The 13786-nt window shown below is 50.6% G+C and overlaps 1 protein-coding gene across 13 annotated transcripts in view, besides 1 other annotated feature; it reads left to right on the plus strand.

The window, feature by feature from the left end:
* Positions 1 to 13786, plus strand: part of METTL22 (methyltransferase 22, Kin17 lysine) — a 45577-nt gene that overhangs the window by 15519 nt on the left and 16272 nt on the right. For 4 of the 13 annotated variants that reach the window (NR_134608.2, XM_047434613.1, XM_047434612.1 and 1 more), the window contains 6 exons: positions 1875 to 1946; positions 3915 to 3968; positions 4911 to 4991; positions 5247 to 5349; positions 7341 to 7509; positions 8892 to 12438. Coding sequence is in view for 12 of the 13 variants with exons in the window: in XM_047434613.1 (XP_047290569.1) it covers positions 1875 to 1946; positions 3915 to 3968; positions 4911 to 4991; positions 5247 to 5349; positions 7341 to 7509; positions 8892 to 8927 (515 nt within the window). In the remaining variant the exon portion in view is untranslated. Of the gene's footprint in view, positions 1 to 1874; positions 1947 to 2146; positions 2461 to 3914; positions 3969 to 4910; positions 4992 to 5246; positions 5350 to 7312; positions 7510 to 8691; positions 12439 to 13786 lie in introns of those variants that run through there. The other 9 variants (XM_017023660.2, XM_047434610.1, XM_017023659.3 and 6 more) reach the window with 5 other exon arrangements.
* Positions 1947 to 2447: an enhancer, noted in NCBI's record as "H3K4me1 hESC enhancer chr16:8733020-8733520 (GRCh37/hg19 assembly coordinates)". NCBI's record gives its function as "activates a minimal SCP1, AML or CMV promoter by ChIP-STARR-seq in primed H9 embryonic stem cells {active_cell/tissue: H9 hESC(primed)}" and the evidence as "EXISTENCE:reporter gene assay evidence [ECO:0000049][PMID:30033119]".

A 13786-nucleotide genomic window follows, 5' to 3' on the forward strand; every position in this document is an offset into this window, starting at 1 on the left:
GAAGCTAGAGATCACCAGTCCCTGAGGCACTGTTTTCAAATATGCTGTTAACCACTGGTCAGGAGTCTGCAGTGCAGCCACGCTATTGGCTGCTTCTTGACAATGTCATGTAAATTATCAGTGAGCTCTTCTCAGAGTCAAGCCGTCCAAGAGCTTTGCTTCGTCCCTGGTGCCTAATAGCAGACTATAAAGAAGTCTTATCCCTGAGAGAGATTTACCAGCATGGGGAAGAAAGCTTGCATTTAGATGCCATGTTCCAGTTGGAAAAGTCCTTTCAGATGCATCAGTGCCTGGCTGTAACTTCACAGTGACTCTGGGCAGAGCCCAGGGTTCCTATCTCTGTTGTCCAAATGGGCAGACTGAGGCTGGCCCAAGGTCATCCACAGCTGCTGATGAGACCCGAGGCCCTTGATGTGGACCTGCTGGCCCACAGGGCAGTGTGCTTGTCACGTGGTGGAATTTCAGATTGTGTTGCATGGAACAGAGCTCCCACAAGCTGGCCGAGGGATGCTGGGGAGAACGCACTCAGGGCACCAGGGCTCCTACCCCACTCAGCCAGAGCTGCTCCTCTCTTACCTGTTTTATAGGTTAAAAGCTTTTGACAGAAACTATCATAAAGGTTTAAAAACTGCTGACCCTGGCCAGGCGTGGTGGCTAATGCATGTAACCCCAGCACTTTGAGAGGCCGAGGCAGGTGGATCACCTGAGGTCAGGAGTTTGAGAGCAGCTTGGCCAACACGGTGAAACCCCATCTGTACTAAAAATACAAAAAAAAAAAAAATTAGCCAGGCATGGTGGCGTGTGCCTATAATCCCAGCTACTTGGGAGGCTGAGGCAGGAGAATTGCTTGAACCTGGGAAGTGGAGGTTGCAGTGAGCCAAGGTTGCACCACTGTACTTCAGTTGGTCAACAAGTGCGAAACTCCGTTTCCAAAAAACTGCTAAGCCCATCGTGTGCTGTCAGGTACATATCATCAGTATTCTCTTGGCCTAGGAGATAGGGTAGATCCCTCCCTTCTGCAAGCAGGGAGCTCCTCCCGTACATGGCTCTGTGTGACCCCTGGGGTGCAGATGTTAGTCCCAGGGAGATTGCACTGTGGGTCCACGCCCACAGTGGACCAAGCAAATGTCATTAACAAGACATCCTGTACTTTCTACATGCACATTCTTCTAATTAGAAGTTTATTTTTGGTAAAGCACTGCTTCTGCCAGTGAGGATTCACTGTACCCCAAGTTAGTTCTTGAAATGATGAGAAATCCCACTTGTCAGAGTAGCAGGCGGCTGGGAGGGAGATCTGGGTGGCAGCAAAGTGAATCGCGCTCAAGAGAGTGGGCTCAGCCTGTTTGAATCTGCTCTGTGTTCTGACGAATCATAAGAAAAAATCCTTCTGACCGGAAAACTGGTCCAGTCAGTTTTCCTAGGGTGTCAAAGAACGAGCCTAAATTTGGAGTTAGAAAAACCTGGATCAAATCCCAACTCTTGCTCTCAATAGCTGCATGACTTTGCTCAAGTCACTTAATCCGTGAAATGGGATTCATGATCCCAGCTCCTGTGTGGCCATAAACATGAAAACGATGAACTAGGGAAGTGCACGCGTGTTGCATGTGCTCGGATGATGTTGGGAGCTCACACTCCTTCCCTCTGGAATGCGCACTGTCTCTCCCCATCAGGAGGAGAATCTCTTATTTAGGGAACAAGCCAATGAAAAGAGCCTTAAGGTGAGGGTATTTAATTTTGGCAGTAAGACACATAGGAGAAACGTTTCTCTAATTTCTGCAGTTGTGCTGTTGATCACAGCTCTCTCTAGGCAAAAAACATGGAGATAAAAGTGTCGTAGTGGCTGGCACTTTATGGCTTGCCCTCTGTCATTCCAGATGTCGGTGCAGATCTCTTGTCCATGTGCCAGCGAAACATTGCCCTCAACAGCCACCTGGCTGCCACTGGAGGTGAGGCCCAGGGGGTCTTCTGCCAGGGAGGGAGGTTTCTCTGTTTAGCAGATAGGACAGACACCCAAGACCATGACATTGGGAGGCAGGGCTCCGTCTGTGTCCCTTGCAGCAGGTGAGTAAGGGGAGCAGGCGTCGTCTGGGCATCACAGAGCTTCAGAGCATTGAGGACGCTCCTTGGGTCACCTCCTCATTCCCAGATCCACTGCGTCATCCTACTCCAGCTCTTTCTCTCCCGGACACTGGCGGCGGCCCCTGAGCTGGTCTCCCCAGCTCCTTAGTTGACCCGTCCAAGATGTCCTCATGAAACATCCAGAGTGCCCTTTCTCAGATGCAAGCCAGTCCACTTCACTTGCTGCTGAAAACCTCCCAGGGGCGTCATCACCTGTGGGGTGAAGTCTGAGCTCCTTGAATTCCCAGGCCTCCCTGGCCCAGCCCCGGCCTGCTCTCCTTGCCTCCTCCTGACAGTCTCCTTTCCAGCCCTGCATCCAGCACGGCCAGGACTCACTCACAGGCCAGTCCCCCTGCGCAGATGGGCCTCCGCCTCCATCTGCCTGGTTCTCTGCTCCCTGCACGGCCTGCAGGGATGAGTGTATGTGATGGGTGACGACAGTTATGTCCTAACGCCTCCTCCGAGCAGCCCCCCAGGCTTCAGGCCCTTCAGTGGTTTACTGTTGCTTGTCTCATGTTCTTGGGGATCTGGCCCCTGTCTGTCTGCAGCGCCCCCCACCACCAACAGCCGACCTCACCGTCTTTCAAATCACATTCCCTCGAGTCCTTTGCCCTTGCTCTTCCCTCTGCCTGAGTGCTCTGCCGTCCCTCCTCCCGGCAAGTCCTCATCACCCTCGGGGCTTCAGACCTCCAGATTTGAGGCCAGAGCCCCCAACAGACTCCAGGCACACGTTGCATGATTGCATTTTACCATCTGCTCGTGTGACTAGTTATTGGTGTTTTCCATTCCCACCGGACTACAAGCTCTGTGGGTGCAGGTACCCTGTCTGCATTTGCTCTGCACTGTCACAATGTTTGTTGAGTGCTCAGGGTACAGTAGGCAGTCAGCAGAGCTGGGAGGATGGAGGGAGCATGCTGGTGGAAGCCTTCCCTGACATCCGCTGTCTGACATGAGTTCCTCTCTCTCCTCCTGTGCGTTTGCCTCATCCTTCTGGCATCACCCAGCCACACAGTCTTGCCGTTGTTGGTTAACCTGCCAGTCTCTCCTAGGGGAGCTGGTCTGCAAGGATGGGGAGCATGACTCTTAAATCTTTATTTTCCCTATGTCTGGCACCGTCCCTGACACGTAGCACTCAAAAAATGCTGGAAGAATGGACGGATGGATGGAGGGAAGGGACAGAAAATGGATGATGGATGAGGAGGGAAGGAGGATAATAAGGATGGGTGGGTGGATGGGTGGGAGGGCAGAAGGATGGATAGATGGGTAGATGAGAGGATGGATGGATGGATGGATGGAAAGATGGGTGGATGGGAGGGAGGGAGGGAAGGAAGATGGGTGGGTGGATGGATGGATGGATAGATGGAAGGGCAGGAAGATGGGTGGGGGGGTGGGTGGATGGATGGATGGATCGATGGATGGCTAGAAGGAAGGATGAGAAGATGGATGGGAGGGAGGCAGGGAGGGAAGGAAGATAGGTGGGTGGGTGGGTGGGTAGATGGATGGATGGATGGATGGATAGAAGGAAGGGCCGGAAGATGGGCAGGTGGGTGGGTGGGTGAATGGATGGATGGATGGATGGATGGATGGATGGATGGATGGATGGATGGATGGGTGGGTGGATGGCTGGCTGGCTGGCTGGCTGGCTGGCTGTAAAGATGGAAGGGCAGGAAGGTGGATGGGTGAGAGCAAGGGTGGGTGGGTGGATAGATGGATCTTCATATATAGTGTAAAAGTTTATCTTTTTTTCCTGATGATGTTTAGAGTTTGGAAAGTTCTCTTTTTGTTTGTTTTTACAGGTGGTATAGTTAGGGTCAAAGAACTGGACTGGCTGAAGGACGACCTCTGCACAGGTGTGTGTTTCTCTCGGACGTCCCCCAGTATGATTCAGTGATTCCTTTGTAATACCTCAGTGCCCCTGGCTCTGTGGTTTTGACAGAGCTGTAGTCCCAGCTGCTGCCACAGTCCCATCGGCGCATGGCAGCTTCTCTCCATTGGCCGATGAGCACCAGCTGTCATTCTCTGAGCGCCTGCTGCATGCTGGGCACCTCACGTTCATTTTCTTCTCCAGGTGTTGTGGTTTCCCTGTGTGGTAGCATGATAATCCCTGAATTGTGAGTGCAGACTGCCCATGGGCACAGCTGGTACACAGCAGGGTAGGGGCATAGACCCGAGTTTGTCAGACTCTGGGGCACAGACCATTTCCCAACAAACAGTGGTGCCAGGAAACCCCCCGGGTAGGACAGTTTCCATATTTCTTACACAGACTACTTCAGACCTGGGTGCTTGCTCTTTCTTTGTATAAAGATGTCTTTTTTTTTTTCCCTGTCAGATGGCAGATGGGAAAAGTCGTTCCTTGAGTACTGGTCACCTGCCTAGCACTTTGCGCACCGTAGGCCCTTCGGCCCTCCCAATAGTCCTGTGAGGAAGTAGTACTGTGCCCTTTCTGTGAGTGCAAAACTGAGGCTGTTTTCCTGGGCCACCCAGCAGGCAGAAGGGGGAGATCATGTCCTGCACTGGGCCACAGGCCAAGGCAGCGGGTGAGGCTGAAATCCGCCCGCTGCTCACTGGCTAGAGCAGACACTCAGCAGAAAAGGCACCTCTTCCACCATGACTCTGCACCCGGGCAGCAGTGGGCCTGAAGCAGGGAGTCTGGTCTGCCTGGTGGTGCCCACTGCACCGAGCTACCCCCAGCCCTGTTTCTTCTCTTGAAGTGCCTTTTGGTCAGTCCCAGTGAGAGTTGGTGGCCAGGAGAGAAGGCAATGGGCACAAAGTGTGCTTTTGTTCTTTCTTAGATCCCAAGGTCCCCTTCAGTTGGTCACAAGAGGAAATTTCTGACTTGTACGATCACACCACCATCCTGTTTGCAGCCGAAGGTAAGAAAATTTCTCCTTCGCCGTACACGTCCTTTGTTGTAGCATGAAGTCAAGTGCAGTCTCTCCTCACTTCCCCCGGGAGTTCAGTTTTAGAAGTGACTTTCTGGTACATGCCACCACATCTGCAGTTTTAATTCTGGAAGCTGCTGCTGTTCCGTGGTGATAAGCATTCTCTCTGTGCGGATTGCTCTGAAAAGTCGATTTCTGTAATATTTGCGTGTTTTCCTCTAATGCTGGCCTTTTTGCTTCCCACAGTGTTTTACGACGACGACTTGACTGATGCTGTGTTTAAAACGCTCTCCCGACTCGCCCACAGATTGAAAAATGCCTGCACAGCCATACTGTCGGTGGAGAAGAGGTGAGCTTTGCGCCACGGGAACCGTGCTGACGTCCCGAGTGTCAGCGGAACTCTCACCTCCTAATTGTGTCCTTGTCAGTGTCATTATGATTGTTACTCAGTGCCACTTATTGAGCACCTACTATGTGCCAGGTCTGTGCTCATCCTTTGTGTACGTTACTGCACTGAATCTGCATCCTAGCCCTGTGTGCAGGCGCTGCTGTCCCACTTGACTGATGAAGAGAGGAAGGCTGGGAAGCATCAGGGGCCTTGGCCAGGGCACGGCTAGTTAGTGATAGACAAGGACTTGAATGCAGACTGTACTGGAACCTCAACGCTTGGCCAGCACACACTGTTGAGAGCTTCTCTTCCTGAATGTTCTCTCTGTGGTGCCGTCTGTCTCTTCAGCTCCCCCAGGTCTCTTTCTCTTGCTGAATCGGACAGCTCCTCACCCAACAGCCTCACCCAGACATTTCCACTAGAATATCCTGAAATGTTAGGTTCCATTTATTGAGTGCCCACCTTGTGATAGCTACACACATTCTCCTGTAATACTTAACAGTAGTCCACAGCTTTTCTGAAGATCGTTCGGAATCCACAGCAAAAGCTGTAAAACGAAACAGACTTCTTCACCCAGCAATTCAGCATCTGGAAATTCACACTCAGGGTTGTGTACAAAGCTGTATGTACTTGCATATTTATTGCAGTGTTACTTATACCAATAATACCGAGGGCTTGCTTTGAGGCACACACTGAGCAATAGCAATGTACAGACCTCATTTGGATCCTGATTTCATAAACTGTAAAGGAAAAACATCAGGACAGTTGGGAAAAGTTGAATACTGAATATTTGATGTTAAAGGGTGATTGTTAAACTTTAGTTGAAGAGGTCTTCATCTTCTTGAGACACACACTGACATTTCCAGCTTCACAGAGGAAATGGGTTGGTGTCTGGCATTTGCTTTTTAATAACTCAGTGAGGGCAGGGGGCCCCGGGAAGAGCCAAGGTGGCAGAGTGGCTGGAAGTGGACAGTGGCTGAAGCTGGTAATGGGTTCATTAGACAGTTTTGTTTTTTTTGTTTTTTTGAGGCAGAGTCTTGCCCTGTCAGCCCAGGCTGGAGTGTGATGGTGCGATCTCGGCTCAGCACAAGCGCCACCTCCCGGGTTCACACCATTCTCCTGTCTCAGCCTCCCAAGTAGCTGGGATTACAGGCATGCGTCACCACACCTGGCTAATTTTTGTATTTTTAGTAGAAACGGGGTTTCACCATGTCGTCCAGGCTGGTCTCAAACTCCTGACCTCAGGTGATCTGCCCTCCTCGGCCTCCCACAGTACTGAGATTACAGGTGGGAGCCACCACGCCCAGCATAGACTGTTCTTACTCCTGTTGCATGTCTGGAATTTTTCTTGATAAAAAAATTTGGAAAGAAAAGGGAAAAAGGCAAAGAGCTTTAATTTCAAGTGAAACCATCTTGTAGACTAAGGTTTTGAAAGGCAAGTGGCAGGGTTGGGAGACCTGTTTCTGAAGGTGCTCACTCTCTGAAATCTCTCAGACCCCAGCTTCCCAGCAGTTTTCTCTCTGTTCTCTGTGCTCCCGGAGTCCTCTGCACCGCCCCCTGCCACTGCCTCTCATTCATTCATTTCTCAGATAGTTATGCGCAGCTCCAGGCACCAGATTCTGTGCTGGGTGCAGGCAGGACCTGGAGGGCGTCCTCAAGTGTTGATCTGCAGGACTGTCTTGATCTTTCCAGCAGTGTCATTGTGGGCACGTGACCTGAGCTTTCTGAGCCTGTTTCCACATCTGTAAAGTGCTATCCACTTCCACCTCCTGGGCTGTCGTGCAGATGTAGGAAGGAATTGCACTCACACACTCAGCATGAGACAGGCGCTCAGTAAAAGCCCGTCCAGGGGATATGAGATCAGTGAGGGATAGGAAAGCAAGGTGGGCAGAAACAGCAAAACCCTTCCCATTGATGATGGCAGTTTGTGCGTCCGACTGGCTGGTTTGCAGGCTCAACTTCACATTGAGACACTTGGACGTCACATGTGAAGCCTACGATCACTTCCGCTCCTGCCTGCACGCGCTGGAGCAGCTCGCAGATGGCAAGCTGCGCTTCGTGGTGGAGCCCGTGGAGGCCTCCTTCCCACAGCTCCTGGTTTACGAGCGCCTCCAGCAACTGGTAGGTCCAGGCCCCGAAGCAGGGCCGTTGGTTGCTTTACTGTGAAGCGGGTGACTCCAGGGCAAAGAGGTGATGAAGCAAGCCCTCCAAGCACAGGCTCCACCCTAGTCCTGCAGGGGGTGAAGCCTGCGTGCCTGGCACCATCTGTAGTGGAACCTGTTGGGGGAGCTACATCCTGTTCTTAGCAGCCACCATGTCTGGAGACGGGCCTACAGGCGAACCTTGTCTTTTACTTTATAGCACATATTCCCCCCGTTGGACAGTTCAGACTCCAGAGGAGGCAAGACCGAGGCAGAGGTTGTTTGGGGAACAGGAAGTCAGTGGAGGGAAGTTTGTGGGTTGCAGATCTTGGTGCAGGCGCCCCGCTGTGGTGGCCGCTGCTCACATCTTCACTGTGGAAGGATACCAGCCCCTCTCGGACTGAACTGGCTTTTCTATTAACTGGAGTCCAAAGATTGAGAATTAACTTCTTTTGTTCTGTTTGCCTTTTGGCTGTGGCCTCCCTTTCTCTATGTCTGTGGAGACCCGGGCCTAGTTCTAAGGAAAAAGGGAGGAAGAGGGAGTCACGAGGAGCTGCCGCCCTTGCACTCTGTCTCGCGTCCTGAGGGAGGGCAGCATGGAATTCGTGTGGTTTTGTGTGCGAGGAGGATCTTGTATTTATTGCTCTGCCACTTCTGGGCAGCATTAAGAGTAGCGTCACATGACCAAGAACACACATTTCTTACAAGTCAGCAGCCCCAATACATGATGCCTAAGACGTCCCAAAAAGGCCAGGTACGGTGGCTCCCACCTGTAATCCCAGCACTCTGGGAGGCCATGGTCGGAGGGTTGCTTGAAGCTAGGAGTTCGAGACCAGCCTGGGCATCACAGACCCTATCTCGACAAAAATCAAGAAAAAAAATTAGCCATGCATGGTGGTGCACACCTGTGGTCCCAGCTACTCTGGAAGCTGAGGTGGGAGGATTGCTTGAGCCCAGAAGTTCAAGGCTGCAGCAAGCTGTGATGGTGCCACTGCACTCCAGACTGGGCAACAGAATGAGATCCTGTCTCTAAAATAAAATTGTTTATAAAGATCTCCCCCAAAATGGAGAGATACGGCAACTCACTGCTATTCTGGTCTCTTCTGATTGTTTGACATCCTCTGATGCACCTTCCGTTAATGCTGGGACTTCATCCATCCAGCCTCTCTGCCACAGTAAAATAGAACAGCCCAGAGCAACAAAGAAAGGAGGAAGCCGCCCGTCCGCTCCTGCCCCAGCTCGCCTGCTCCGTGGCTGACGTGTTGTCTAACTACTCTCCTTGGTGAATCACTTTCCTTAATGAAATTGTGATGCTCTTGTATGTGCACTTCAGAAACCTGTTCTTTTCTCTGTTTGCTGCAGGAGCTCTGGAAGATCATCGCAGAACCAGTAACATGACCCATCGCCTCCACAAGGCGCGGCGTCTCGACTGTTCTTAGAGTGTATTTCTAGTAAAATCAGAAGCTCACCAAAGCAACATGCTTGAGATTTTGTCATTTTAAAAATATGGTTACACGTACCTTAGATGACCCAAGATGGTTTTCTGGGGTCTGTCCCTGCCTCCCAGTTGTAGCCAGAGAAGGTTGTTGCTGTGGGCTGGAGGTCACTTTAGTTGCCTGTTTCTCATGGTTGTGATGTGTGCTCCAGGGTCAAGCCGAGCCACGTTCCTTCTCAGCTCAGTTCCACCCACGTCAGTCATTTCAGCTGTGTGCTTTACTTGCGGTTGCGGCCCTGGCTGTGAGGTGGATTCTTGTACTGCCCTCTGTCAGCTGTTTACAGATGGGTTGACTACCACTGCCAGTATTGCCATCATATTGCCGCTCGGCACAAAAGCCTCATTTCCTCCCAGGGTTGGGTATGCTCCACCCCATCACTCTGGTGAGGGCCCCATGAGAAGGAAGAGGCAGGAGCTGGCGCCAGGAATGGACTGGCATTGGCCTTTGTATTTAATTTTAACTCTTTATCACCCAAATCAGGTACGTTTGGAATAAACCTAAGAGCCACTCTTTGGGGTCATGTGCAGCTGACCAGGGTTTGTGCAGTGATCTTCCTCAGAGGTGTTCCCTTCCGCCTGGACTCATTTTCCCTCCGCCCCTTGGTCTCTCTGTCTTATCACGTGTGTACATGTCTGTCTGTCTGGTTTTTTATCTTCTCCATCTGTGCCTCTCTCCTCCCATCTCCACCCCTTCCTGTCATCCTCTATGTCCCACTGTCTCTCTCCTTCTCTCCAGTTTTGGTCCCATCTTCCTGCTACCCTTGGCCCTCCCTGCAGCCCCTTTCCCCTGCCTTGCTGCTGCCGCACACTTTGCACCAGGGCCTTTCATGGCCCCTTTCCGCCTCCCTTGCAGCTCAGGTTTCCTGGCTTCTCCATGCACTGTCCCTGCCCACACTCGCTTCTCCCCAAGCTCCCAGGTTCCATCCCTAGGCCCATCATACCCCTGGCATTGGCTAATCCCTCATGCCAGGGGCCAGGCACTTGCAAGTCTAACTTCATCTTCCCAACAAATTTAGGAGGTCCGCAGCCTTGTGATACCCACATTACAGCGGAGAAGACTGAGGTCCAAAAAGGAAAAAGTCTCCATGAGGTCAGGGACCTTGTTTGTCTTAAATATCACTACATCCCTGCTGTATGGTCTGGCAAACAGTAGATGCTCAACACATATTGTTGAATGAATTGCTAATGTAAGTTACTAATTAGGTCATTATTTCCTATTTGTGAGTGATTTTGCCTCCAGGAACATTTGGCAGTGCCTGGAGACATTTTCGGTGGTCACAAGTAGGGGAGACGGGTGCCACCAGTATCCAGTGGGTGAGGCCAGAGATGCTGCTGAACGTTCTATAATGCGGTAATCACGGAGCATCCCCCACAACACAAAATGATCCAGCCCAAAATGTGAGTAGCGCCGAGGCGGAGAAATCCTGACTTGGAAGAAGAAAGCCAAGTACTTTAGAGAAGAAAAACGGTCTCAGCTGAACCTGTAGTGAGAGCATGCAGGAGAGTGACCTCACCCTGCCCCTCTGGGAGCAAGAAGAAAACCTATGCATGTACGTTATTATAAATCTTCAAAGAACCTAAAAGGCAGAAGTGATCCCTATTTTGCACATGAGAAATCCAAAATTCAGAGAGGTTCAGCAACTTGCCCAACATCACACAGCAACCAAGGGCAGAGTCAGGTTTAGAGCCCATGTCCACCCATGTCCATCTGACTCCTGAGCCTGTGCTTTTCCCACATTCCCGCTGGAGCAGCAGCAGCATCTGTGGCATCACGTGGATGCTGGTTAGAAATGCAACATCAGGCTGAGCATGTTGGCTCACTCCTGCAATCCCGATACTTTGGGAGGCCAAGGCAGGAGGATCAATTAAGGCCAGGAGTTCAACCAGCCTGGACAACAAAGCAAGACCCCATCTCTATTAAAAATTAAACAGCCAATTAGTCTGGCATGGTGGTTTGCGCCTGCAGTCCCAGCTACTTGGGAGGCCGAGGCAGGAGAATCGCTTGAACCTGGGAGGCGAAGGTTGCAGTGAGCCAAGATCGCAACACTGCCCTCCAGCCTGGGCAACAGAGCCAGACATCTCAAAAATTAAAAAGCCAGGCGAGGTGCCGGGCATGGTGGCTCATGCCTGTCATCCCAGCACTTTGGGAGGCCGAGGCGGGTGGATCACCCAAAGTCAGGAGTTCAAGACCAGCCTGGCCAACATGGTGAAACCCTGCCTCTACTAAAAATACAAAATTAGCCGGGTGTGGTGGCTCATGCCTGTAATCCCAGCTACTTGGGAGGCTGAGGCAGGAGAATCACTTGAACCCAGGAGGCAGAGGTTGCAGTGAGCCAAGACCATGCCATTGCACTCTAGCCTGGGCAACAAGAGCAAAACTCCATCTCAAAAAAAAAAAAAAGCCAGGCGTAGTGGCTAACGCCTGTAGTCCCAACTACTCAGAAGGCAAGGTGAGAGGATTGCTTGAGCCTAAGAATTTGAGGCTGCAGTGAGCCATGACTGCACCATTGCACTCTGGCCTGGGCAACAGAGAGAGATCCTGTCTCCAAAAAAGAAGAAAAGTATCAAGCCTCAGCTCAGGACGTGATTCCGAATCTGCATCTCAACGAGACCCTGGGTGATTTGTGTGCACAGTAGTTTGAGAAGCTCTGGGGCCTACCACATAGCCCTCAACCTATTGCTGTTTTCTAAAATTCCTACACAAACTCCGTTCCTGACAGACTTGCCATAATGGAGCAGCATTGCAGATCACTACAGGGAATATTAATAATGAGTCTTCAAATCAGAACCCCACTAGACAGAGCCAACAACTGGCAGTACGTCAGCACTAATGGTGACAATTTCCTAGCACTCCTGGGTACAAGTCCATAAATGTAATTGGCACCAAGCAATAGAGTTGTCACAGCTTTCACCTGCCGCATTAGGGCAAACTGCTTTTATGTCTAAACCACTGGGCCTGAAAGCTTCCTCTAAGTAGAGCCTGGAATTAATCTTGATCCACTGTAATTCAAAGTATCGTCAGATTTTCATTTCCCAGAGTGGGAGCGCGCCCCCATTGCCATGTTTTATGGCCTTGTTTGAGCCTCTACAAGTGCTTGTTTGGCAGCGATATTCAGAATCACCAAACCATGGGGATGTTCTGCTAGGTAATTAGCCCAGGCCAGTGGACTCAATTTTTTTATAACATTTTCAGAAAAATATGTGACCCAAGGAGGGGACTTGGCTGTTCAGCTGCAGCCTGCATGGGAAAGAACTGTTAAAACCAACAAAGCCAGGCACAGTGGCTCACACCTGTAATTCCAGCATTTTGGGAGGCCGAGGTGGGTGGATCACCTAAGGTCAGGAGTTCGAGACCAGCCTGGCCAACATGGTGAAACCCCGTCTCTACTAAAAATACAAAAAAAAAAAAAAAAATTAGCTGGGCGTGGTGGCGGTCGCCTGTAATCCCAGCTACTTAGGAGGCTGAGGCAGGAGAATCTCTACAACCCGGGAGGTGGAGGTTGCAGTGAGCCAAGACTGCGCCATTGCACTCTACCCTGGGCAACAAGAATGAAACTCCGTCTCAAAAGAAATTAAAAAAAAAAAACCATTAGTGAAACTGTGGTCCCCAAAGCTTCTCAAACTAGTATGCACACGAATCACTTGGGATCTTGTCAAAATACAGATTCTGACTCAGGCCCTGGATGTGGCCTGATGCTGCAGTTTAACAAGCTCCCGGGTGATGCTGATGATGCTCGTCTGTGGGCCACACTGTGAGGAGTGAAGTTGCAACATGTCATCCCTGGTTAAGAGCACAAACTCTGGGTTGGATGTGGTGGCTCATACCTGTGATCCCAGCACTTTGGGAGGCAAAGGCAGGAGGATTACTTGAGGACAGGAGTTTGAGATCAGCCTGGGCAACATACAGAGACCCTATCTCTAAAAAACTTTTTTTTAATTAGCCAGGTGTGTCATGCACCTGTACTCCCAGCTACTCAGGAGGCTGGGTCGGGAGCATCGCCTAAGCGAAGGAATTCTAGGCTGCAGTGAACTGTGATTGTGCCACTGCACTACACCCTCACAGCCTTACAGACAGAGACGCTATTTCTAAAGAAAAAAAAACCCACCAACTCCGGAGTTGAGCAAGCCAGGGTTTAAATCCTGCCTCTGCTGTGTAACAGCAATGACCTTGGACAAATGACCTAGCCTCTCTGAACCTGAGTTTCCTCACCTGTAAAATAGTAAAACTTCTTGATAGGTTGGTGAATGGGTACAAACTTAGGGAAGAAATACCTTCTAATGTTTGGTAGCAGACTAGGGTGGCTACAGTTAGCAACAATATATTGTGTATTTCAAAGTTGCTAGAAGAGAGAACTTGAAATGTTCCCAACACATAAAATTATAAATTCTCAAGGTGGTGAATACCTCAAATACCCTGGCTTGATAATTACACATTCTGTGTATATAAAACACATTCATATGCACCCCATAATATGCAAAATTTCATTTATCAATAAATGAAAAAAAGCCAGATGTGGCTCATGCGTGTAATCCCGGCACTTTGGGAGGCCAAGGCAAATGGATCACCTGAGGTCAGGAGTTCAAGACCAGTCTGGCCAACATGACAAAACCCCGTATCTACTAAAAATACAAAAAAATAGCTGGGCATGGTGGCGTGCCTGTAATTCCAGCTACTCTGGAGGCTGAGGCAGGAGAATTGGAACCTGAGAGGTGGAGTTTGCAGTGAGCTAAGATTGCACCATTGCACTCCAGCCTGGGTGAC

This window comes from Homo sapiens, chromosome 16, assembly GCF_000001405.40.
Source record: "Homo sapiens chromosome 16, GRCh38.p14 Primary Assembly".
In the NCBI taxonomy this organism is placed as follows: Eukaryota; Metazoa; Chordata; class Mammalia; order Primates; family Hominidae; genus Homo; species Homo sapiens.